At 38.3% G+C, this 26,769-nt stretch overlaps 1 protein-coding gene across 3 annotated transcripts in view, besides 4 other annotated features; it reads right to left on the bottom strand.

Annotated features, from left to right (window-relative positions):
- MNAT1 (MNAT1 component of CDK activating kinase) overlaps positions 1 to 23,521 on the bottom strand; it is a 235,205-nt gene extending 211,684 nt beyond the window's left edge. For all 3 annotated transcript variants that reach the window (NM_002431.4, NM_001177963.2, XM_005267688.4), the window contains exon 1: positions 23,331 to 23,521. In NM_002431.4, coding sequence (NP_002422.1) covers positions 23,331 to 23,419 — 89 coding nt within the window. In that variant the 5' untranslated portion in view covers positions 23,420 to 23,521. The remainder of the gene's footprint in view (positions 1 to 23,330) is intronic.
- Positions 4,167 to 4,216: an enhancer, noted in NCBI's record as "active region_8483". NCBI's record gives its function as "activates an Ori minimal core promoter by ATAC-STARR-seq in GM12878 lymphoblastoid cells {active_cell/tissue: GM12878}" and the evidence as "EXISTENCE:reporter gene assay evidence [ECO:0000049][PMID:35858748]".
- Positions 4,627 to 4,906: an enhancer, noted in NCBI's record as "active region_8482". NCBI's record gives its function as "activates an Ori minimal core promoter by ATAC-STARR-seq in GM12878 lymphoblastoid cells {active_cell/tissue: GM12878}" and the evidence as "EXISTENCE:reporter gene assay evidence [ECO:0000049][PMID:35858748]".
- Positions 23,228 to 23,297: an enhancer, noted in NCBI's record as "active region_8481". NCBI's record gives its function as "activates an Ori minimal core promoter by ATAC-STARR-seq in GM12878 lymphoblastoid cells {active_cell/tissue: GM12878}" and the evidence as "EXISTENCE:reporter gene assay evidence [ECO:0000049][PMID:35858748]".
- Positions 23,408 to 23,507: an enhancer, noted in NCBI's record as "active region_8480". NCBI's record gives its function as "activates an Ori minimal core promoter by ATAC-STARR-seq in GM12878 lymphoblastoid cells {active_cell/tissue: GM12878}" and the evidence as "EXISTENCE:reporter gene assay evidence [ECO:0000049][PMID:35858748]".

Below are 26,769 nucleotides of genomic sequence, written 5' to 3'. Positions count from 1 at the left end.
GAAGCCATGATCTTGCCACTGCACTCTCACCTGGGCAACAAAGCAAAACCCTACCTCAAAAAGAAAAAAAAAAAAAAGTCCAAGTAGAGATAAGGAAGACATAGACTACAAGGGGAATAGGATAAAATCTGTAATTTGGAAGTTATTAAGGAGACAGTTATGGGCACAACTTCGTAGGGCTTAGAAATAAGCCTAGTACATATAGTATGACCTCAGATTTCTTATTTGAATATCTGGTATATTTGTTGGTCCCACTGCCCTCTACCATCTAAATTATGCTCCTTAGATGGTTCCAACAACACTCATCATAACAATTATTGTAGTGTATTGTAACATTTTGTTTGTCTATCTTCCATACTTAGCAATGAGACCTCAGGGCAAAAATTACCTCTGATTCAACTTTGCATCATCAACTCCTTGTACACAGGAAGTCATAAAATAAAAATTACAAAATAAGTAAAGCATCAGAATCAATACACTGCCAAGAGCAGAAAAAAACCTAAAAGCACGGAAATGCATGAACAGTTTTCTCCTATTTCCTATTCTACATATGTTCTAGTTAAGGACAGAAAGGGAATCTCTGTGACTCATCAGTATTTCTCAGACAAATGCCACAGGGGTAAAAATTTGGAAAGTATTAACTGAAACTAAATTATAGTTTGTCTCCTATATTCTGATGTAAACTAGGAGTAACATGAATGATATTCTAGGAAATCTTGCCCTAAAGCCCTAAGCTCATAGCTGCTGTTTGGTTCAAATGCTTAGGAACAGTCTATTAAAAATATCTTTGAAACAAAATATAACTTTATCAAACAAGACATTTCAGTGTCTCAATTGATGACCAGAAAATGTCAAACATTCTAGCCTGTGTGTGGGTGTGTGTGGACAATAAAAAAAAATGCACTAAAATACTGCAAAATCTGGAACTGCATTTAGATAAAATTTTCATAGTGGCTTGATACAGTCTATATATTAATATAACTTGGAATTATCACCAAAAACTGAGGAAAGAGGTAAATAAGAGTAAGAAACTGTCAGATCAGTATGTATTTCCATCTCAAACACCAATCCCTCCAGATTCCACAAAATAAATTACTCCATACACCGTTAGTTTTAAACAGGAAATTTTTAGCTTCTTAGTACTCTGTGTTATGTTTCTGAACAACTTCTGCAGTACCAGAAAGTTGCATATGATTTCTTCAAACTAACAAGTCAAATAGCCTGTTCTCTCTCAGTGAAATGTGAGAGCCAGTCACTTGGGAACTCACAGCTGATGACATCTTAAAATCAAGTTCTAGTCCAGGTCAAATACACTAATGGTTTAACCAAGCCAAAAACTAAATTCAAGAGAAACTGTAGGCTACTACTTAAACTGGAAGTGAATATCCTGTTGTCATTTACCTCCAAATACAAGACAGCATGATTGATTTTGCCCAAAAAAACGCAAGGGCATTTATACATTTTAAAAAGAAACTATATGGCATCAAAATAGACATGGCTCTATTTTGTAAAACACATTTCTGTATTAATAATTAAATCCCCAAAAGACCACAGCTTTAGGCCACAGGTATATAGCCAGAAAGAGCACATGAATGACACCTTTGTGAGTCAAATGGTATCTTCCCAGTAACACTAAAACTTTATACTTGCTTTATTTTCATTTTAATTGATTTCCAGTTGGCAGAAGTTCCTACCACTTACATCAAGATTTTTCCATCCTCCAGCTTAACTGTTAAATGGTAAGCAATCCATAAGACACTGTGAAGTATAAAAATATACTATTTTTTAAAATTCTTCCATGATCACTCTTGAATATTCAGCCTCCTTAGTAATGGGAAAAGCACTTCTTAGCTCATACTCTATAAAAGTTCAGAATTTCATGTACAATAACGCATGTTCCAAGAGTAACAAAACATTATCTGACAGTAACTTTTCCAGACAAGTGTAGCATACTCCAAAATGCAGAAGTTCTATTCTAAACTTTTTTCAATATAACTCTGTCTTTAATGCATATGTTCAACAAATGTGTATGGTTGTGTACTATCACTGAAACTTTCCTTAATGACATAGACAGCTCGTTATGAACAGAGGTTCCCACATTGTGCTATATGTAAGTTAACAAAACTCAATCTTTCTTATCCCATAGTCCATTAAATAGGCTATCAAATAATCTAAGCATCATAATGAAAGAAATAAAAAGTCTACATTTCCCAAAAAAAGACAAGTATTTACGTTTCAGAAGCATTACACAATGGCATCACATCATGTGCATACTTACACAAATTCACTTATATATGTTCAGCAAAAAGAGACAGAGATACATTTTTAGAAAGCGGTCCCATTTCCCCAGCCTCTCCTCTCAGTGACTATCTCTATACCCCAGAGTAATCATAAAATGAGAGATGTCACTCTGCTGTTCCCTCTGTTGCACTCAGTTTCAATGCCTCTCCTAGGACAAGCATCTTATTGGACTATATATGACAGTGTTTAAAGGTAAGTCTTTTCAGTATAATGCCAAAACAAGAGCCAATTACTTCATCTGCTGTTCAGGTGAGGAATACTGATTTATTACTATGCTGGAAGGAAAACTGGCTGCGCTAGGTTTAATGAAAAATTATTTACCCATATGGACAATTTCTGATCCTTAATATTAAGGGTAATCTTCACTATATTTTCTGCTTTACATGACTTTAGAATACAAATTCCAGGCTGTGTGCAGTGACTAGCCTACAATCCCAACACTTTGGGAGGACGAGGCAGGAGGATGGCTTGAGCCTAAGAGTTCAAGACCAGTATGGACAACAAAGCCTGACCCTGTCTCTACAAAAAATAAAAAATTAGGCCAGGCACAGTGGCTCACGCCTGTAATACCAGCACTTTGGGAGGCCAGGGCGGGTGGATCATGAGGTCAGGAGATCAAGAACATCCTGGCCAACATGGTGAAACCCCGTCTCCACTAAAAATACAAAAAGTAGCCAGGTGTGGTGGCACGTGCCTGCAGTCCCAGCTATTCTGGAGGCTGAGGCAGAAGAATCACTTGAACCTGGGAGGCAGAGGTTGCAGTGAGCTGAGATCACTTCACTGCATTCCAGCCTGGGCAACTAAAAAAAAAAAAATTAGGTAGGCATGGTGGCACACACCTATAGTCCTAGCTACTTGGGAGGTTGAGGCAGAAGGGTTCCTGAGCCCAGAGGTTTGAAGTTACAGTGAGCCGTGATCATGCCACTGCACTCTAGCCCAGGCAACAGAGTGAGATTTTGTCTCTGGAAAAAAAAAATACGTATATACAAATTCCACATAAGATTCAACTCCACTGTATTTCTTACTTACAGAAACAAATCTATTAACAAGGTGAAAGTATTTTTATAAAGAATTAGTTTCTCAAATTGCTACTTCATGCGTTATAGAATGTAATCCAGACCTTAGTCAATGACAGGAAGCTTACAGGATTCTCACTAAAAACACTAAATTATTATCACATCTTACATGATATTAAAATGTTTACCTTTACAATACTACTAGATTCCCCCTTGATTACTTCTGAATAAAAGTAGTTCATATGCCTCTGAACAAAAGCCACTTCTCTAATGACAATGGCTTGTTGAACATGCGCCCTTAGAAATTTCTCCCTATTGCCAGGCGCGGTGGCTCACGCCTATAATCCCAGCACTTTGGGAGGCCGAGGCGGGCAGATCACAAGGTCAGGAGATCGAGACCATCGTGGCTAACACGGTGAAACCCCGTCTCTACTAAAAATAAAAAAAAAATCAACCAGGTGTGGTGGCACACGCCTGTAGTCCCAGCTACTCAGGAGAGCGAGACAGCAGAATCGCTTGAACCTGGGAGGCGGAGGTTGCAGTGAGCCAAGATCGTGCCACTGCACTCCAACTCCAGCTTGGGCGACAGAGCGAGACTCGGTCTCAAAAAAAAAAAAAAAAAAGAAGAAATTTCTCCCTATTATTAAAAAAAAAATAAAATCCCTAATATGTGTACAGCTTTTGGCAATGTGCCTTTTGTTTTAATAAAGATGAAGGGATTCTATTAGTTATCTGTTGCTGCATAACAAAACACCACCAAGCTTGACAGCTTAAAACAATAAACAATTTATTATCTCACAAAATTTCTCAGTGTCAGGAATCCAGGAGCAGCTTATTTGTCAAGATATCAGCTGGGGCTGCAGTCATCTGAAGACAGGACTGGGACTGAAGACTAAGATGGCTCACTGACTTGGCGGTTAGTAGAAGGTCTCAGTTCTTAACCACACGGAACTTCATAAGGCTGCTGACGACACATAAACTGTCTTTCATGACAGCAAGTTGCCCAAGAACATAGAGAGTAACCACATGGAAAGCCACAAAGTCTTTGTTAAAGACCTAGCCTTGGAAATGAGAAACTTCTACCATATTCGATTGGTTATACAAGCAACCCTGATACAATCAGGGAGAAACTAAGCAAGGACATAAAAAGTAGGAGACAAAAATCACTGGGAGCCCTCTTGGATTCAAGGTATTCCAGTGATAAATATACATATGTGGTTGGTGTGGTTTTACATATGGCCACAAATTCTTTATACTTCTTTCATCAAAAGGGGAAGCCCAATTCCCCTTCCTCTGAATGTGAGCTGTATTTAGGACTCTGAACAAACAGAATGCAGCAGAAACGATGGTGTCTGAATGATGTTCATAGAAGACATCGTGGCTTCTGTTTGTCTCTCTCTTGAATCATCCACCTGAGGAGAAGAAAGCTACTATGTTGTGCGAACACTGAAGAAATCCTTAGGAGAGGCCCATGTGACAAAGAACTGACACCTCTAGCCAAAAAATAACAGTAAAGAACTGAGGACTCCTGACAAAAACCACATGAGTGAGCTTAATACAGTCAGCCCTCCATATACATGGGGTTTTGCATACTGTGAATACTGTATTTTCAATTCTTATTTGTTTTGTTTTTTGAAATCCACATATAAGTGGACACACACTTCAAACTCATGTTGTTTAATGGTCAACTGTTTATCCTCCAACTCCAGTCAAGCCTTCAAATGAATAGAGCCCCAGCTGAAACTTGATTGCAATCTCATGAGACACCCTGAGCCAAAACTACCCAGCTCAGCCATGCCCAAATTCCTGATGCACAAGAACCGTGAGAAAATAAATGTTTGTTATTTTAAGCCATTTAGTTTTAGGATAATTTGTTAGACAGCAATAAATAACTAGTGCAAGCCAGGTGCGGTGGCTCACGCCTGTAATCCCAGCACTCTGGGAGGCCAAGGTGGGTGGGTCACCTGAGGTCAGGAGTTCAAGACTAGCCTGGCCAACATGGCAAAACCCTGTCTCTACTAAAAATACAAAAATTAGTCGGGCATGGTGGTGCGTACCTGTAATCCCAGCTACTCGGGAAGCTGAGGCAGGAGAACTGCTCCAACCCAGGAGGCAGAGGTTGCAGTGAGCCAAGATCACACCACTGCACTCTAGCCTGGGCAACAGAGTGAGACTCCATCTCAAAAAATAATAATAATAAGTAGTACAATGGTAGAGTAATATGAAATTTCTTACAAAATTAGTTACTGAGTCAAAACTTAAAACAGCATTCTCCAAAGTGTTTTTTGTTTGTTTGCTTTGAGACAGAGCCTCACTCTGTCACCCAGGCTGGAATATAGTGGCACACTCATAGCTCACTGCAGCCTTGACCCCCTGGGCTCAAGCAATCCTCCTACCCCAGCCTCCAGAGCAGCTGAGACTACACAGCACACACACATACAAATAAGAAGATAAAAATTAAAAGAACTCCTCTGTGAAAGTATTATGTATAATTTTTTTCTTTTGTCAAAACATTTTTTAATATTATCTTGTGGCATTTTTTCAATAAAACATAATAGACATGCTTAAAATAAATCTATTTTAAAATACATTTTTTAAAAAATGCAAATATTAAAAACTATATTCCTAATCCCAAAGAATATAGAAATAGATCCTTAACTGGTCCTCACTTATGCTCCAATAGATCTCAAAAATACAGCATCTGGCATGTCATACTTCATAAATCCCATCACTTTTGAAAGCTTTTTTGTCCCATATCTTCTATTCCAAATCCATTCTAGATCAGTAGCAAGAAATAAGATCAAATAAAACAACATATTTTGGTAACATTATCTGAAACAGTACCAAAATATGATGATTTTTTTAGAAACATGTCAGTTAACACCAGGAAGTAAACACAGTAGAACTATTTATAAAGAAATTATATCTAATATTGGTAAATTTCAAGATATTTATATTTTAATGAGCTGAATTGTTTATAAGTAAACCAGTTAGTGCTAGATGCAGTTTGCTTCAGTTACCTGAAATTAGAACAGCAAGTTCATTAAATATATATAAATCAGTGGTGCAGAGGCACTGCACCATATTGATGGAGGCTTCATTGATTTTCAATGATATAACCACTATCATATTTGTGTTCTAAAAAAACTGAGTGAGGTATACAATCACTTGTCCTCATCTCAAAATTCTTTTTTTTTTTACATATTCCAACTTAGTAAATGAAAAGAAAACCTAACACTCCAAACATTTCTGATAAAGTCTGTTAAATTTTAAATTTTCTTATCTTTTTGTAGAGAATATATATATTTGTTTGTACATGTAAATAATCTATATTTCTTTAAAAATAAATATGAAAAATAAAAATACTATAAAATAAGTTATCCTACAAATCATTTCACTGCATCAACAATACAATTCATTTAGGCTTCCTAGTTGACATCTGATTATACCTCAAAAACCAAATACTATGTCATTGCTTATATATCATCAATAAAAAATAAAGATGTGGCAAATACAATATCAGGAAAAATATCATTATTGAATATTCAAAGATGCTTTTTATCGTAAGCTAGCACCCTAGAAAATAAAATATAAAGAGAAAATTGTTCTAAGTAGATCAAAATGATTTTTAATATTGTAGTTTTTTCATCTTATGCATGAGTTTGAGTTACAACCCAGTTGCATTACAGTAAAAAAAAATGTATTTAGTCAACAGGTAATCAAAATGTAATTGAAAATTAATTTTGAAATTTAATTTCTGAATGGGATTTACACACAAAAAAAGAGACTGGAGCTGTCCAGGTGGGCTATGCAACCATATATCCTTTCTTAGGCTTCAGTTTCCCCATTTGATTAAAAAAAAAAAAGAAGGTGGAGGGAGACATAAAATACAACTAGAAAGATGTTTGCTGAGCTCCTTCCAAATTTAAATTAACTAAGTATGTCAACTTCCTATCAATCCTTTTAATAAAACAAATAGCATTTTGTAAGCTGTACTTTTGCACAAACTTTCATACTAAGCCTGAGAGCCAAATCAGACAACACATTCCACTTTCCTAAAGGGGCTAATATTTAGATAATTTCTCTTCAGTGGCTGCTTTAGACAAAACCATTTCCATATTTGGAACCACGTACAACATTTGTATATTTGGTATCACCCAGACATTTTTGTTCCCCTGATGCTAACTTTGCAAAACCTGTACCCAACCAACCAAAATGATTTGCTTCCCCAAAGGACCTTTTCCTAAATCAGCAGAACAGCTAAAATCAGGCTGCAAGATTTCAGATTTATGTTTCTTTAGCAAATAGTAATTTTTTTAAAAAATAGCTTATTTAACAATAAAGCCCACTTTCACATCTTAACTACAAAGAATATTTCTATAACTATAAACTTTCCTTTTCCTCCTTGTTTCAAAAAAAAAAAAAAAAAAAAAAAGGCTGGGCGCAGTGGCTCACGCCTGTAATCCCAGCACTTTGGGAGGCCGAGGCAAGCGGATCACGAGGTCAGGAGATCGAGACGATCCTGGCTAACATGGTGAAACCCTATCTCTACTAATAAAATACAAAAAAGATTGGCCGGGCGTGGTGGCAGATGCCTGTAGTCCCAGCTACTCGGGAGGCTGAGGCAGGAGAATGCCGTGAACCCAGGAGGCGAAGCTTGCAGTGAGCCGAGATCGCGCCACTGCACTCCAGCCTGGGCGACAGAACGAGATTCCGTCTCAAAAAAAAAAAAAGAAAGAAAGAAAAACGAATTTATTTTTAATGACTCAAAAGAAGAACTAAGACACTATAAAAGTAATGGGGGCAGAAACCATGTCTGCCACATTCACTGTTGTTTCCCCAGAACTGTGTTTTCAACCCTCTTAGACCACAAAATTTACCTAGATAGTATAAAATACTGGTCCCCACCTCGAAAGACTATGGTAGGGCCCAGAAATCTGTACTTTAAAGAAGCACCCCAGATGATTCTTAGGATGAGGTAAGTTTTGGAATCACTGGCCTGGAAAATGTATTGAGTGTCTGAGAAAGACTGCAAATACGTTTATTAGTAAACACCAACAACTAGTAAATTACTGTTGTCTTATTTTTTTCTTGGAAAATAGGCTTAACACATTTGAAACCTGAAGAAAATCATTAAAATCTCATTTAATTTTCACTCAATTATTCTCATTCTATTTGCTGTCTCAGGAACAAGTTGCTAAGTAAACTGAAAATAAATTGCCAAAAGATTCCTGAAACTTAAGCTGAAAAACTATATATTTTTTGCACATAGACTACTGAAAATAACTCTTTATAGAGTAAATTTACTTGAATTCATAGATTTACTTGAATTCTTAAATTTACTCGAACTGTGCCTCATCTAATCTTCATAGTAACTGTAAGGTATCACTACTAGTGAACCCATTGTACAGATGAGAAAAAGTTTTAATAAGAATCAGTAATTTTCCCTAAATCTCATAGCTAATAATAAGTAGCGAACCTAGGATTCCAACCCAGGCAATCATACTGTCAGTATATATTTGTTAGACATAATATTTTTATGCCCACAGCAGAAAAAAAGCAATGAGAAAAAATTAATTCCATTTCTATTTGTATTTGTATCCCTAAAGGAAACTAATGAACTACTACTTTAGATCCTTACAGAATAAAATAACTTGCATTTTAACAAATAAGTTTGAATGTCCAATAGATAGCTTCACCTGTTTGACTCTTGGAATACAAGTTTGAGAACATAACTTCCATGGAAAGAGAATGTTCACAAAGCCAAAGATGCTATGAAACTTTCTGATACCTGCAGGTACAAATCTGGATAGATTTCCTCCAAAATTCAAAACTATATATAGTCATGCACTACACAAGGACATTTTGGTCAAAGACAGACCACATATACAATGATGTCTGTTCCTTAAGATTATAATACAGCTGAAAAATTCCTATCACCTAATGACTTCGTAGCCATCCTAACATCTTAGCATAACACATTACTCACCTGTTTGTGGTGATACTGGGGTAAACAAACCTACTGTACCACCAGTCGTATGAAAATATAGCATATGCAATTATGCACAGTGCATAATAGTTAATAATGATAATAAATGACTACGATACTGGTTTATGCATTTACGATACTGTGACTTCTTAATTGTTATTTTATAGTGTACTCCTTCTACTAATAAAAAAAAAAGTTCATTGTGAAACAGCCTCAGCAGATCATTCCGGAAGTATTCTAGAAGAAGGCATTGTTATCACAGAAGATGACAACTTCATGCATGTTATTGCTCTCGAAGACTCTCCAATGAGAAAAAACGTGGAGAGGGGAGACAGTGATATTGATGATCCTGACCCTGTGTAGGTCTAGGCTAATGTATGTGCTAATGTGTAGGTTTGTATCTTCATTTTTAATGAAAAAGCTTAAAAAGTAAAAACAAAAATAGGGCCACGTGTAGTGGCTCACGCCTGCAATCCCAGCACTTTGGGAGGCCAAGGCGAGAGGATCACTTGAGCCCAGGAGTTCAAGACCAGCCTGGGCAACATAATGATACCTCATCCCTACTAAAAATCAAAAAACTAACTGGGCACAGTGGCGCCAACCTGGAGTCGCAGCTATTCAGAAGGCTACAGCTGAAGGATTGCTTAAGCCAGGGATGTCAAGACTGCAGTGAGCCGTGATCATGCCCCTGCACTCCAGCCTGGGTGACAGAGCAAGACCCTGTCTCAAAAAAAAGGAAAACCTAAATTTAAAATATTTTCTTCTTTTTTTTTTTTTCTGAGACAGAGTCTCGCTCTGTTGTCCAGGCTGGAGTGCAGTAGCGCAATTTTAGCTCACTGCAACCTCTGCCTCCCAGGTTCAAGGGATTCTCCTGCCTCAGCCTCCCAAGTAGCTTGGGACTACAGGTGGGTGCCACCACACTCGGCTAATTTTTGGTATTTTCAGTAGAGACGGTGTTTCACTGTGTTAGCCAGGATGGTCTCGATCTCCTGACCTCATGATCCGCCGACCTCGGCCTCCCATAGTGCTAGGATTACAGGTGTGAGCCACCATGCCTGGCCTTAAAATGTTTTCAATAGAAAAAAAGCTTAAGTCTTATAGAATAAGGACATAAATAAAATACTTTTGTACACCTGCATAATTTGTGTTTTAAGCTAGGTATTACAAAACAGTCAAACAGTTCAAAAGAAAATAAAAATTTATAAAGTAAAATTGTTACCATAAGCTGGGGTTTATTATTGAAGAAAGAAAATTTTTTTATAAATTTAGTGTAGCCTAAGTGTACAGGGCTTATAATGTCTACAGTAGTGTATAGTAATATCCTAGGCCTTAACATTCACTCACTACTTACTGACTCACCCAGAACAACTTCCAGTCCCACAAACTCCTTTCAGGGTAACTGCCCTATATAGGCGTATCATTTTTTATCCTTTTTTACTGTAACTTTTCTGTGTTTATATATAATTAGATACACAAAAACTTACCATTGTGTTACAGCTGCCTATGGCATTCCGTACAGTAACACACTATACAGACCTGTAGCCTAGGAGCAATAAGCTACACCTTATAGCTTAGGTATATAATAGACTATACCAGGTACTACACCATAAGCACACTGTATGATGTTCACACAGTAAAACTGCCTAACATGAGTTTCTCAGAATGGATACCCATCATTAAGACATAATTTTGGGCAGGGCGCATTGGCTCACGCCTGTAATCCTAGCACTTTGGGAGGCCAGGGCGGGCAGATCACAAGGTCAGGAGATCAAGACCATCCTGGCTAACATGGTGAAACCCCATCTCTACTAAAAATACAAAAAATTAGCCGGGCGTGGTGGCGGGCACCTGTAGTCCAGCTACTCAGGAGGCTGAGGCAGAAGAATGGCGTGAACCTGGGAGGCAGAGCTTGCAGTGAGCCGAGATCGCACCACTGTACTCCAGACTGGGCGACAGAGCGAGACTCTGTCTCAAAAAAAAAAAAAAAGACATAATTTTGTGTGTGTGTGTGTGTGTGTGTGTGTGTGTGTGTGTGTGTGTGTGTGTGTGTGTATATATATATATATATATATATATATGAAATGAATCTTTAAAAAGGATTCCCAGTATAGAAGGGAATTAGAGGAGAGTAGAAACATTACAAATAATATAATTAGTAAATATCTTGTAAACATAGTTTTAAAGAACTATAAGTTACGCTCAGTAAGTAACTAAGTATATTAGCACACTGCATCTTAAAGACTAAAGTACACTAATAGTCATTTTTGATCAAGCAAAAAATATATGTTAGAGCCATATAATAAGCAATCCGTAATGAAGTATTCATATTCTGCAGAGTGATCAGCACCATCCCTCATACTGGGAAAAAAAAATTACAGCTAATACGAATAGTTTTATTAATGTTGCAAGGTCAAAGAAAAGACTACAGACTACACTGATTTTTTCTTCTTTTTTTTTTTTTGAGACAGAGTCTCACTCTGTCACCTAAGCTGGAGTGCAGTGGTGCGGTCTCGGCTCACTGCAACCTCCACCTCCCAGGTTCAAGTGATTCTCCTGCCTCATCCTCCCGAGTAGCTGGAATTACAGGCATGACCCACCACGCCTGGCTAATTTTTTGTATTTTTAGTAGAGATGGGGTTTCACCATGTTGGTCAGGCTGGTCTCGAACTCCTGACCTCGTAATCTACCCGCCTCGGCCTCCCAAAGCGCTGGGATTACAGGTGTGAGCTACCGCACCCAGCCAATAATTTTCTAATTAACTATTAAATTACACAAATTTTAAGAGCTTCAGGGGGCTGGATGTTACCTATTATAAACAAGTGAACAAACCAAAGTTAAATGGCTGGCCTATAACTCGCTAGTCTATGGTGAAACTAGAGCCTAGATTTTCTAACTTGAGATTTGGTGTTCTTTCTACTCCTCAACCTGTCTCTGGATAATTAAGATACATACAACACCAACTCTTACATATGTTTGAAAGCACAAACTACCTCCCCTTCAGAAGAATCTTGAGATCTTCACTGTAATTACCAGTCAGAAGACAGGAGGCACCAATTCTCTAAGCGCTGTTCTGCAGCACTATACTGCTAATCAACCTCAAAACACTCCATTAAAAGAAAAGAAAGCTTACAAAAATATTAGGGAAGGAGCTGAGGTAGTAAAAACAAAAAAGTAATCAGAACTATACAACAAAAAAGAAAATGTTAACAGGGTACTGCCAATTTTGAGGCAAAGAAAATAAACAGGGGCCGGGCGCAACAGCTCACACCTGTAATCCCAGCACTTTGGGAGACCAAGGTGGGAGGCCAAGGTGGGCAGATCTCTTGAGTCCAGGAGTTCAAGACCAGCCTGGGCAACATGGCCAAACCCCATCTCTATTAAAAATACAAAAATTAGCCAGGCGTGGTGGTACACACCTGTAATCCCATCTACTCAGGAGGCTGAGGCATGAGAATTGCTTGAACCCGGGAGGCAAAGGTTGCAATGAGCCAAGATCGCACCACTGCATTCCAACCTAGGCAACAGAGCGAGACTGTCTCAAACAAAAAAGAAAAGCAAGAGGTACATATAGAACTGAGAAAATCTGCAAGACTACAGGAGGAAGTAAATGCTTAACAACAGTAAGGCCAGCTTTTGCTAACAAATATGATGGAGTAACTGATGCCAGACTAGCCTTCCCACCATGAGCAACCATAAAATAAAGTGCATAATACAACTGTTTACAGGCATTAGACAACAGGCAGGACAGGACATCCCTGAGAGATGGGAAACTCACAAGGTGAGCCCTACAAATACCTCAGCTTTCTATATGGCAACAATTGCCATAACCATGGCCCAGCAAGCAAGAGTTTAACAAGGGAATAGTGATTGTGCTAAGCCAAATAGGCAGAGATCAGAATGCAGGGTAGTTGATGTGGCTGAAATCCACAAGGCAGAGAGGCTAGAAGACATGTAGGATTCCCCCATAAATCCTTGGCCAAGAAATAGGCTGCACATGTGTAGGGCAAAACCAATCAAGGCTTAAAAGAGAGTGGTTAAGAGAGGAAAATACACTAGAGTTGAGGAGTACTGGGTATACCTAGAGTTCCCACCAGCCAGAGCAGAGAAATCACATTAACACCTTATTAACATCTCAGATATCCAGCTGAGATATCAAAAATGCCTCAACTAAGAGTAAGAACCACATCCTAGAATAAGGCATATTCTAGGTGCACCCTAACAAAGACTAAAATCAAGCCCCAACAAGTTTTTGAAGGGATTAAAAATGTGAGGTTGAGTTACACTAAAGTAAGGAAACAATGGGTTCTCCACATATCATTCTAGCAAAGAGTAAAACCAAGCCTACACAAGTTCAAAGTTATCTGCCAGTAACTGAACTACCTGCAAGAATTTTTAAAATCAACACTTTTCACAAAAATACAAAATCCAGAATCTCTATAATATACCACCTACAATTAAAAAGTAGTAAACATGCAAAAATAAATAAGCAGAAAACTGTAACCTACAGTCAAATAAAAGCAGTCAATAGAAACCAACCCTGAGATGGCTGGGCGTGATGGCTCACACCTGTAATCCCCGCACTTTGGGAGGCCGAGGCACGCAGATCACTTGAGGTCAAGAGCTTGGGACCAGCCTGGCCAACAGGGCAAAACCCCATCTCTACTAAAAATACAAAAATTAGCCAGGCATGGTAGCAGGCACCTGTAATCCCAGCTACTTGGGAGGCTGATGCAGGAGAATCACTTGAACCTAAGAGGTGGAGGTTGCAGTGAGCCAAGATCATGCCACTGCACTCCAGCATGGGCAACAGAGTGAGGCTCTCTCAAAAACACAAACAAAAAAGAAACCAACCCTGAGATAGCCAAGGAGTTAACTCTTACAGACAGAAACCTTAAGATTGACTATCATAAATATTTTAAAGGAATTAATGGAAAATATGTTCAAAAAATTAAAGGAAAATGCATTCAAAGAACTAAAGAAAAATATATTCTTGATGAGTATATAGATGGGAAATATCAGAGAAATGAAAACTATAAAAAAGATAAAAATGAAAACTCTACGACCAAAACAATACAATAAGAAATGAAAAATCTATTGGATGAGATTAGAAATGGCAGACAGGCAACAGTGAACCTGAAGATAGATCAATAGAAAATATATAATCTAAAGAACAGGGAGAAAGAGATATGAGTAAAATTAACTTCTCAACAGAAACACTAGAGAACAATGAAATGATATCTTTTGTATGGTCAAAGAAATGCCAACCCATAATTCTATATTCAGCAAAAATATCCTTCAAACACTAGGGTGAAATAAAAACACTTTCTTATAAACAAAATCAGAGTATATTCTTCACCAACACACCTACACTATAAGAAATGCTAAGGAGCTGGGCGCAGTGGCTCACGCCTGTAATCTCAGCACTTTGAGAGGCTGAGGCAGGCGAATCACCTGAGGTCAGGAGTTCAAGGCCAGCCTGGCCAACATGGTGAAACTCCATCTCTACTGAAAATACAAAAATTAGCCGGGCATGGTGGCACACACCTGTAATCCCAGTTACTCAAGAGGCTGAGGCAGGAGAATCGCTTGAACCTGGGAGGCGGAGGCTGCAGTGAGCCGAGATTGTGCCATTGTACTCCAGCCTGGGCGACAGAGCAAGACTCCGTCTCAAAAAAAAAAAGAAATGCTAAAGAATGTTCTTTAGGCAGATGGAAATCAATATGACTATAAAATCAGATCCAAAGGAAGAAGGGCAATATCAAAGATAGTAAATAGGTGAAAATAAGAGACTATATTTCACCACTTCATACCCACTAGAATGGCTATAATCAAAAGACAACTATAACAAGCATTGGCAACTACATAGAGAGACTAGAGCCCTCATTCACTGCTATAAGATGGTACAGCCACATTGGAAAACAAACTAAACAAAGAGTTACCATATGATCCAATAATTCTACTCCTAAATATATACATGAGAGAAACAAAAACATTTGTCCATACGAAAACTTGTACATGAATGTTCACAGCAGCATTATTCATAACAGCCAAAAAGTAGAAATGACTCAAATGTTCTTCAACTGATGAATGGATAAAATGTAGTATAGCCATACAATGGAATAATATTCAGCAATAAAAAGAAATGTTGTACTCATACATGCTACAACATGGATGAACCTAGAAAATATTACACTATGTAAAAGAAGCCAGTCCAGAGAACCACATACTGTATGATTCCATTTATATGAAAGGTCCAGAATAGGAAAATCTACATAGTCAGAAAGTAGATAACTGGTTGCCTAGTGCTATGGGAGGGGGGAGTTGAGGAGTGTGACGGCTAAGTGGTGAGAGGTATCTTTGTGGGGTAATATGTACATCTCTGAGAATATACTAAAAGCCATTGAAACGTACACTTTAAATGTGTGAATTTTATGGTACGTGAATTATATTCAGTGAAGTAGTTTTTTAAAAACATACCTTTCCTTAAAGACAACTGACTGTTTAAAGCAAAAATAACAACAAATCACAAATACAAATAAAAGATATGCTGAAAGAAACCACTAATAATAATAATAACAATGAGGAGTTAATTGTTGGCCATAAAAGGTGACTGTAATCCCAGAACTTTGGGAGGCTGAGGTGGGTAGATCACTTGAGGCCAGGAGTTTGAGACCAGCCTGGGCAACACAGTCAGAGACTAGCTCTACAAAAAAAAATTAAAAATTAGCTGGCTGTGGCAGTGCACACCTGTAGTCCCAAATTCTGGGGTGGCTGAAGTGGAAGGATCCCTTGAACCCCTGAGTTCAAGGTTGCAGTGACCTGTGATAAAGCCACCACACTCCAGCCTGGGTGATAGAGTGAGATCCTGTCTCTTATTTAAAAAAAAATAAAAATAAATAAAAAATAAAAAGCTACCGGCTAATAGGCCAATACTTTAAAAAATCCAATTATTTCAAAATAAGGCAGGAAAGGAGCAAAAGAACAACAAAAAAACCAAAGGAATACAAGGAAACATGTAGACTTAAACCCAATGATATCAATAATTAGATATAATGGACTAGTACACCAATTAAAAGGCAGAGATTGTCAATCCAGATAAAATGGCAAGACCCAGTGAAGTAGAGTCTCCCAGAGACAGACACAAATTGGTTGAAAGTAAATGGATGGGGGCCAGGTACAGCAGCTCACTCTTGTAATACCTACATTTTGGGAGGCCCAGGCAGGAGGATCACTTGCGCTCAGGCGTTTGAGACCAGCTTGGGAAACATAGCAAGACCCCATCTCTACTAAAAATTAAAAAAAAAAAAAAAAAAAAAACCCCAGGCGCAGTGGCTCACGCCTGTAATCCCAGCACTTTGGGAGGCCGAGGCAGGAGGATCACGAGGTCAGGAGATCGAGACCATCCTGGCTAACACAGTGAAACCCTGTCTCTATTAAAAATACAAAAAATTAGCCAGACGTGGTGGCCCGTGCCTGTAATCCCAGCTACTCGGAAGGCTGAGGCAGGAGAATGGTGTGAACCTGGGAGGCGGAGCTTGCCGTGAGCTGAGATCGCGCCACTGCACTCCAGCCTGGGCAACAGAGCGAGATTCCATCTCAAAAAATAAAAATAATAAATACATAAATAAATAAATAAGCCAGGTGTGGTGCCATGCACCTGTAGTCCTAGCTACTCAAGAGGATGAGGCAGGAGGATCATTTGAGCCCAGGAGTTTATGATTGTGCCACTGATATTACATGGGTTAAAAAATTTTTTTAAAGTAAATGAACGGAAAAATGCACACTATCAAATAGTAAGCACAAGAAATCTGACAGTGCCAAATTATTATCAGACAGAATCTTCAGGAAAAAGCATATTACAAGAGACAAAGAGGGCCATTTCATAATGATAAAAGGAGAAATGTATTAGGAAGGCATAACAATCCCAAATATGTACCCAACAAGAGAGTTCCAAAATGCATAAAGTATGACAAAACTTACAAGAAAAACTGACAAATCTATAATCATAGTGGAGTAATTCATAAGATGAGTAGATAAAATAAATTAATAAAGATACAGAAGATCTGGTAATGCTATCAACCAAGATGGGTATGGTAATATGTACCACGTTTATAACTTATACTACACTACACCCAACAACCACAGAATGTATATTCTTTTCAAATGTACACTGATTGTTCACAAAGACAGGCCATATGCTGGACCATAAGCAAGCTTTCAGAAAACTTCAAAAGACTGAAATTTTATAGAGTATATCCTCTTATCACAACAGAAAATTATAAAATAATATATCTAGAATGTTCCTGTTCTAAATCTTCCACCTAAAATAAGTGCCTTTTCCTAATTTTCTACCCAGAGGGGGCTCTGTTTCCCAATTTGCACAAAGGTACTGAATAAGATCAGTATATTAAATGAGTTAACACCACTTATTATTCTTATCAACAAATAAATTCAAACTTAATCTGATAAAACTTTTAAACATAACTAACAATTTAGAGGAAATACTGAGAACAGAAGAACATATTTAACAATATCACAGAGATGCAATAAGCAAAATTCGGACTCTTCAGGATAAACTATCCAGTAACATCAGTAAATGAGAGAGAAATAGGAGAACAGAAAAAAAAGGGAAAAAAAGAAAGAGAAAGATGTTAAGTAACTATCACAAAACATTGCCTTTATATATCAAGATGGTAGGTACTTGATTTTGCTTATCTTGTACTTTGCGTCTCGTGCGTGATGAAAAAAGTAGATTTAGCACATAAAATTTCCAGAGACAGGTTTTGCCAAGAATGGTTGGGATAGAAATTAATTTTTTTTTAAGATGGAGTCTTGCTCTGTAGCCTAGGCTGGAGTGCAGTGGTGTGATCTCGGCTCACTGCAACCTCTGCCTCCCAGGTTCAAGTGATTCTCCTGCCTTAGCCTCCCCAAGTACCTGGGATTACATGCCCATGCCACCACACCCAGCTAATTATTGTATTTTTAGTAGAGACGGGGTTTCACTATGTTGGCCAGGATGGTCTCGAACTCCTGACCTCAGGTGATCCACCCGCCTCAGCCTCCCAAAGTGCTGGGATTACAGGCGTAAGCCACTGCACCCAGACAGAAATTAAATTATTAAAGGCTGTAGTTAAATGAGAATTAGATACCACTGCCTCCATCTAATTCTATATGCCTTCAGAATGGAAGGCCCATTTCTTGAAATAGGTGGCCTGATAAAGAAAAAAAATTACCATTTTCTGTAATTGAGACAATGTTCATCCTTGAACAGAAAAAATTAAAAAAAGAACATGAAATCCAATCTTCTTCTATATGCATACAATCAATTCATTTGTGCATTTGCTAGATTAAATTGATAAGTAGGGAAATATGCTTCTTCAATTGCTAGCAGCTAAGAGACAAAGGTATTTAATAATGTTTCACCTCTTTTCTCTCCTCTCTGCTCCTGTATTTTCTCCCATAAGTAAAACTCCTAGTTAATTTTTCCATAACCCTATAGTTCCTCTTTTATGAAGCACTACTCCTACTCACTTTATCACTTGCCTCCAAAAAGTCTTTGCTACTTGAGGACATGAAAAAAAAAAAAATAAGTTAATAAAATCCTGCGGAAGCCAGCCTTCAAGATAGCCCAATGATATTCACACTCTTGGTATTCACACTCTTGTGTGTACTCTCCCACATTATAACACTACAAAACACCAGAGGTGATGGTATATCACTTCTATCATTAGGTTTTAAAAGGCTCTACAGCTTCCAGTTCCCTTCCTCCCTCCCTTTCTCTCTTCTCCCATCCATCTCTCCAATCTTCCTTACCTCCGCTCATATCACTAGTTCTGGGAGAAGCCACGTCATAAGTAGCCCTATGGAAGAGTCCATGGGGAGGAACTGAAGCCTCCTGACAAGAGCCACATGAGTGACCTTGGAAACAGATACTCCAGGCCCAGTCAAATCTAGACTGCAGTCCTAGCCAACAACTTGATTACAACATCCTAAGACCGAGCCAGAATCATTCAGCAAAATAATACCTGCTCTTCTCAGACTAACAAGCATATTATAAAAATGCCTATATTCAATCCCATGAAATATATGCCATAAAAACTCAACAAACTATCAAAAAATTTTTCATTAAGAGCCAAAATGAGGCTGGACACGGTGGCTCACGCCTGTAATCTCAGCACTTTGGGATGCCAAAGCGGGTGGATCACCTGAGGTCGGGAGTTCAAGACCAGCCTGACCAACATGGAGAAACCCCATCTCTACTAAAACTACAAAATTAGCCAGAGGTAGTGGCGCATGTCTGTAATCCCAGCTACTCGGAAGGCTGAGACAGGAGAACTGCTTGAACCCGGGAGGCAGAGGTTGTGGTGAGCTATCACGCCATTGCACTCCAGCCTGGGCAACAAGAGCAAAACTCCATCTCAGGCCGGGCGCAGTGGCTCACACCTGTAATCCCAGCACTTTGGGAGGATCGAGGCGGCTGGATCACGAAGTCAGTAGTTCGAGACCAGCCTGGCCAACATAGTGAAACCCCGTCTCTACTAAAAATACAAAAATTAGCCGGGCATGGTGGCATGCGACTGTAGTCCCAGCTACTCGGGAGTCTGAGGCAGGAGAATCACTTGAACCTGGGAGGTGGAGGTTGCAGTGAGCCTAGATCATGCCACGGCACTCCAGCTTGTGTGACAGAGCAAAACTTCGTCTCAAAAAAAAAAAAAAAAAAAATCCAAGATGTTTTTCTTATCAGAAAAGCATCTGATAAGATGCTTTTAAACATCTTTTAAAATGCAAGATTTTAAAAAATAATATTAGCCAATATAGGCAAAGTTGTGTGGCAATAGGAATCTCCATACAGTTGTTGGTAACATAATTGACAAGATCTTTTTTTTTTTTTTTTTGTAAGATAGGGTTTCCCTCCTGGCTAACACGCTGAAACCCCGTCTCTACTAAAAATACAAAAAAATTAGCCGGGCGTGGTAGCGGGCGCCTGTAGTCCCAGCTACTCGGGAGGCTGAGGCAGGACAATGGCGTGAACCCGGGAGGCGGAGCTTGCAGTGAGCCGAGATTGCGCCACTGCACTCTAGCCTGGGCGACAGAGCGAGACTCCTTCTCAAAAAAAAAAAAAAAGGATAGGGTTTCCCTATGTTGTCCAAGTTGGTCTCGAACCCTCCCTCCTCAGCCTCCCAAGTAGCTAGGATTACAGGTAGGAACAACCATGCCTGTCTTGACATAATCTTTTTTGAGAACAACTGGGCCATATTTATCAAATTTAAAAGCCACAAACTCTGACCCAACAATTCTACTACTGGACATTACCTTGTGATTTTTACCTGTTATATCTTATGATATACTGGCCTAAATGCTCAAAGACATATATGTACATATATATGCATATTTATGGATGCTTACTCCAAGGAAAAACTGGATAATTAAATATTAATTTTAAAAATTGGGGTAAATAAATTATATTTGAACAATGGACTACTATCAAATTGTTAAAAGAGGAAAACATATGCATATTGATCTAGAGAGATTATCCAATATACATAATGAAAAAAGCAAGGAAATATATATATATACACACATATATATATGTTTATGCTATATTCCTGTTTATGCTAAAGGAAGAAAAAGTTTTCTACCCAAACACACCCATGTTTGTATATGCATAGAAAATATCCGAAAATATACACAAACAACCTAAAAGTTGTCACCTCTGGAGAAGTGAACCACAGAAATTTTTACCTTTCACTTAATAACTTACGTTGCTTTTATTATTAATAGCTTATATAATTTTAAATTTTTTAAATGATTGCCAAAAAAATCAGTGAGTTCTCTCCTCCATTCAGAAACAGCAGTGTGTTAGCCTAGATTAAAGTACTTCTTTAAAAGGATGATTAATTAGACAACATGCTAAAGAGTTCATATTAAGAAAATTACAACAGAGTCCTTATAATTAAAGCTGTATTTTCACATTTCATAGTGTACTGAAATCATTTAAAGCTAATCATTATTGTGCAAGTATTTCATAGCAGGCCAAATAAGTCCTGTTTTAATTTTATTTCTGCTTATCACCCATGCCACACAAAGAATAATAATAATAAAATAGCCAATATATAGTAAACAAATATTATGTGACAGAATACTAAATATCTCTAAATATTTTCCATATATTATTTAATACTTAAGGACCGTGATACAAGCAGCACTATTTTCTCTATTGTACCAACAAGAAGAACGGCTAACAAAGAGTTAGTCATTTCCCTAAGGCCACAGAGCCGGTAAGAGTAAAGAATGTGAAATCAGACAGGCTCATTCCAAAGCTTGTTCTCTCAGCCAATACGCTACAGCTTTTCACTCATTTTGTTCACATTTCAAGTCAAAAAAGGACTGTAAAATGTAGCCTGTTATCTAACAGGTTAGCAAATTAACCACATTAAATGCAACACCAGAATGAATTAGACAAAAGTCTTAACTCTTAGATCTTAACAAAAAGGGCTGAGGATACAACAAAAGCAATTTCAATTAAAATAAATATTTTATACTTGCCCAATTAAAATGCCATTTATGTTACTGAAATCGTATAATCTTCCCTGAATGGCTAAGTGCTGCTAGGCCAGAAAATTACATTTAGCATCCTTCTGGTAAATTACATTTAGTTAGTATCCTTCCCAAAAAAAAAAACAAACTCTCTTTCCTGTTCCACCATAACAAACCTGATAAAGAAAAATGGAGAGAAATTGAACGAAATCTCTCTAAAAACAGTCTATCTACAGTGTTTTTCCATGTAGAATTCCCTTTTCCATGCATTCTTCTTGATTACTTTTACCTTACTTCTAATCTTAAATCATTCAATCACAGCTCTACTATACTTCTTTGCAGAGTAAAGCAAAGGAAAATAAAGATCAATTAGAAAAGTTAAGTAAGCTAATAAATTCCATATAATAATTATAGCTACAGCTAATCATGCAATTTATGCTTACCTAAAGACCCTGTCATTGCTCTACATTTTTGTCAGCACTTGGGGGGTTGGGAGGAGACCTTGTCTACACACTGTAGATTATCCATTATTTTTTGCCTCCAATAAACCTGAAAGAAACTACAGGAATATATGCTCGCCATTACATGGCACCTTTTTATCTCAAAGTGCTTTCTAGAACCACCTTCACTAAACCACATCTGACAAGAAATCTGGCAAGAAACACTTTGACCAATCCCTGTTTCAAAATACACAAACTCAACCTCCCTCCTTCTGCCCCCTTCCCCTGAAAATGGGCGTTCTAAAGTCAGACTTCCTGGGTTCCAATTCTCTCAAGGCCCACTTAATAAGGGACCTTGAGCAGTCTCGATTTCCTTCCCTGTGAAATGGAAATACCAGTATCTACTTCATGGGACTGTTGTAGGAATGAACTGAGATAATTCATGGTAAGGCGCTTAGAACACTGTCTGGCACAAAATGTGCACTCAAATGCCAGCCATTATTATATCTTCAAAATTAACTACCTACAGTCCGGGTTTTCTTCATTTTAGTGATGGGAGTCTAACCGAACTCCATCAGGACAAGTGGGCATACACACAGGGTTTTTTAATTAACTCATACAATAAATAGCAGCAGTATATACTCAAGCAAATTTTAAGTTTTCATAGCACTTTCGCACTTTTTCAATAAAAACATTTCATATGAAATAAACACTCCAATCCCCCACGCTTTTAATCAGCGATGTCCAGAGCCCAGTAAACAACACAAAGCCTGGAAATACAGTCGGGATACTCATTGGCTATGGAAGGGGGAACCTGACAAACTGCTGGATGCCACACTGAGAACCCGCAGTTCAAAGCAGGCCAGAGCCGCTCGGGGCTAGCGGCTACAGTCTATTTAAAGTCACAACGCCTTCTTTTCCCATTTTCCTCCCCAGTGTTGAAACTAACAACGCCCTTTGCTCCCAAGACGAGGCCTAGCATCTCCCGGTCCTCTCCTCCCACCCAGCGCGTCTCTCCCCCAGGGAATCCACTGCCGCCCAACTCACAGAGTGTGTCCGCACACATTCACCATCAGCTTCAAGGAGGGGTTCCGATATTTGGTGGTCTTACACCGAGGGCAACCCTGATCGTCCATGGCGGTTTCCCTCCTACAGACTCTCGCAGGCGCCTGTTTCAGCCAGAGCCACCTACAAGCCCCCTCAGACGCGACCAAGCAGGTTCCTACCAACAGGCGCTTGGCAGAGACGGTCCCTTCGCGAAAGAGCACCGGCAAGGGGCGAGGCGCTGCAACACAAACGTTCCGGCAGTCAGTTCCCCCGGTCTTGCATCTAGGGCTTGGTCTTAGCCTTCCATAAAGCAACTTAATACCTTGAATTTGACAGGGGAACTTTTAAAATGGCAAATTATACAAAGCCTTATCTCCACGCACCCAGTTGCATTTTTCAAGGTACTGTGTCACAATTAGGAAGATAAATTCCATCTTGTTCTGTCTGGAAACATTCCCATGATTTCAAAGATTTATGAGCGGTGTACTTACTTTCTTTTGGACCATTTAATAGCCTGTGCTTTATACTTCTTTATAATTGCATAGTCATGTCAGCTCAGCTGATAATATGCATTCGCAGATACAAAATATGAAAAAGCTATCTACTCCATCAGACAGTATTTATTTCCCCAAATACCTAGGAAAAAATCATATAAGAATACATACAGAAAAATTTAGTTCTGCAATTCCAAGATCTGATAGCCTGAATATCTTTGTAAATTGTAAACCATGTTCATCACATTTATCAAGAAGGCAAATTGAAGTCTGTAAACAGCTCTATTAAATAATAAGCTTTCCCACTGTAAAGGACACATCTTATTCATCTCCAAAATAAAGATTTGTTGATTCTTAATGAGTAAGTAGACTAAGTGAAGAATTAATGAATGACTATCAAACAATAGTGTAATGTGAAAATTTTTAGTGTCAAACATTTTTTGTAACCACCTTCATCTGACCCAAACTCCATCAGAAGGGAACATGCAAACTAGATTTTTCAAATAATCTGATACAATGAGTATAAGCTATAAACATTTATAGTAATTTTAACTCATCATAGAACTTGTGTTCTTTTCAATAAAAAGTAATATTCAATTCACATTTTTAAACAGTGAACCTGGTAGGGAACCCAAAACCCAAAAATACAGTTGGGATTTCCATGGGTATAGAGAGGGATGCTGACAAACAGCTGGATACCACACCCAGGAACCAGCAGATCAAAGCAGGCTGTGACAGAGCTTTACATTAGTATGAAGACATCAAGGATTCATCTAATAAATAAACCATATCATCTCTTTGATCATAATATTGTTCCTCAACAGGAGTTAACCAAACATAAACTTACTAAAATAGGTAACACCAAATACTATGCTACTATGCTGACCCGGAGGCTTATTATGCTGCTGCTATTGTCTTATTGAAAGACCACATCCAGACCAGTTACATGATTCAGAGTGAAGCTCTTCAAGAACAAAGGCAACTCTAGTACTTTATATTTTGGACCATTTAATAGCCTGTGCTTTATACTTCTTTATAACTGCATAGTCATGTAAGCTCAGCTGATAACATACAAGAAACTTCTGGTGAAAGAATGAATATGTCATATGTGCAAATAAAATTTTTAGCCAATACTACATTGAGGTCATCCACTCAGATGGCATTATAGTTTATTGCCACTAGGACAATTTTTGTGTGTTTGTTTGTTTGTTTTGAAACAGGATCTCCTTCTGTTGCCCAGGCTAGAGTGCAGTGGCCCGATCACAATTCATTGCAGCCTTGAACTCCTGGGCTCAAGTCATCCTCCCACCTCAGCCTTCTAAGTAGCTGGGACCTCAGGCACTAGCCACCAGTCCCAGCTAATTTTTTATTTTATTTTTTTAAGAAATGGGATCTCACTATGTTGCCCAGGCTGGTCTTGAATTCCTGGGCTCAAGCAGTCCTCCTACCTCAGGCTCCCAAAGTGCTGGGATTACAGGCATGAGCCTGTAATGATGCCCAGCTATCCAGGACAGTTTTAATTACGTCTTTGAAGATGAGACCCCAACCACGTTGCGAAGTGAATTGCTTTTCCTTTCTCCCAAAACTTAAGATTAAGGCAAAGAAAGCACTAAAGATTGTGAGAAGCAGCAATGCTACAAGCTTTATCCTTTTCCTAGGTGGGAAACTACTAACTTGGAAGCATGGTAGCAACAGCTGACTTGGAAATCTGTCAGATAAGCTTTACTTATGGACCTAAAGACAGTAGAAAATAGCACTTATAGATTTGGTCTCTAGTACCAAGAGAGCTGAATTCAAGTGCTGGCTTCATCACATGATTTATATGACCTTGAGCCTCAGTTTTCCCAATTCTAAGTTCAGGATAGTACTTGTAAAGAATAAAAGATACTTCATTTAAAACACCTAGCATAGAGTAAGAGCTTAGTAACTGCTGGCCATTATTAATGGTAGCATTAGGATACTGGCAGTAGTATTATCTAAAAGAGGCGGGACAATATAATAATAAGAGCCCAACCTTCTTTTACATCAGTCAGACCTGTGTTTGAAGCAAATTTCCAATCCTCCCGTTCCTGTTTCCTTCTTGCATATAATACACTTCATAAAATTGCTGTAATGATTAAATTACATGACATAGACATACATAAAGGCCCTAATACAATGCCTCATACATTACAGAAGCTCTGAAATGTACATCATTATCACTGGTGGGGATGAATAACATGGAATGGTCAGAGAGCTTTGAGGAGGAAAGCACTGACGGCACCAGGTTCCTAATTCAAATGGAACCTCAGCCTATGTAGAAAACCACCAAACTCAAGTTTCCTACATTTCTTTTTTTTTTTAGGAGAAAATAATTTATCAACCATAACATATAATTTTGAAAGGTTAAAAACACATTCGTCTCAACACAAAAATTCAATCATGCTTAAGTTCCTTCCAACGTGTTCATCCAAGGTGAACCTTCATATGTTTACAAATTCTTTTTCTTTATGAATTTTTGTTGACTAAGAACAAATTTTTTTCATTTTCTGAACTTCAAAATTATGCATTTTTCTATATGCTATACATATGAAACTTACGCTTCCTATGTATTGTTTTTGTTTTACTACTTTATTTTTTTTAGGTTTTTTATTATTATACTTTAAGTTATAGGGTACATGTGCACAACATGCAGGTTTGTTACATATGTATACATGTGTTGTGTTGGTTTGCTGCACCCATTAACTCGTCATTTACATTAGGTATTTCTCCTAATGCTATCCCTCCCCCATCTCCCCACCCCACGTCAGGCCCCGGTGTGTAATGTTCCCTGCCCTATGTCCAAGTGTTCTCAGTGTTCAACTCCTACCTATGAGTGAGAACATGCGGTGTTTGGTTTTCTGTCCTTGTGATAGTTTGCTCAGAATGATGGTTTCCAGTTTCATCCATGTCGCTACAAAGAACAT

This window comes from Homo sapiens, chromosome 14 (genome assembly GCF_000001405.40).
Source record: "Homo sapiens chromosome 14, GRCh38.p14 Primary Assembly".
Classification (NCBI taxonomy): domain Eukaryota; kingdom Metazoa; phylum Chordata; class Mammalia; order Primates; family Hominidae; genus Homo; species Homo sapiens.
Note: the sequence above shows the minus strand (reverse complement) of the source record. Positions and strands in the feature narration are given on the sequence as shown.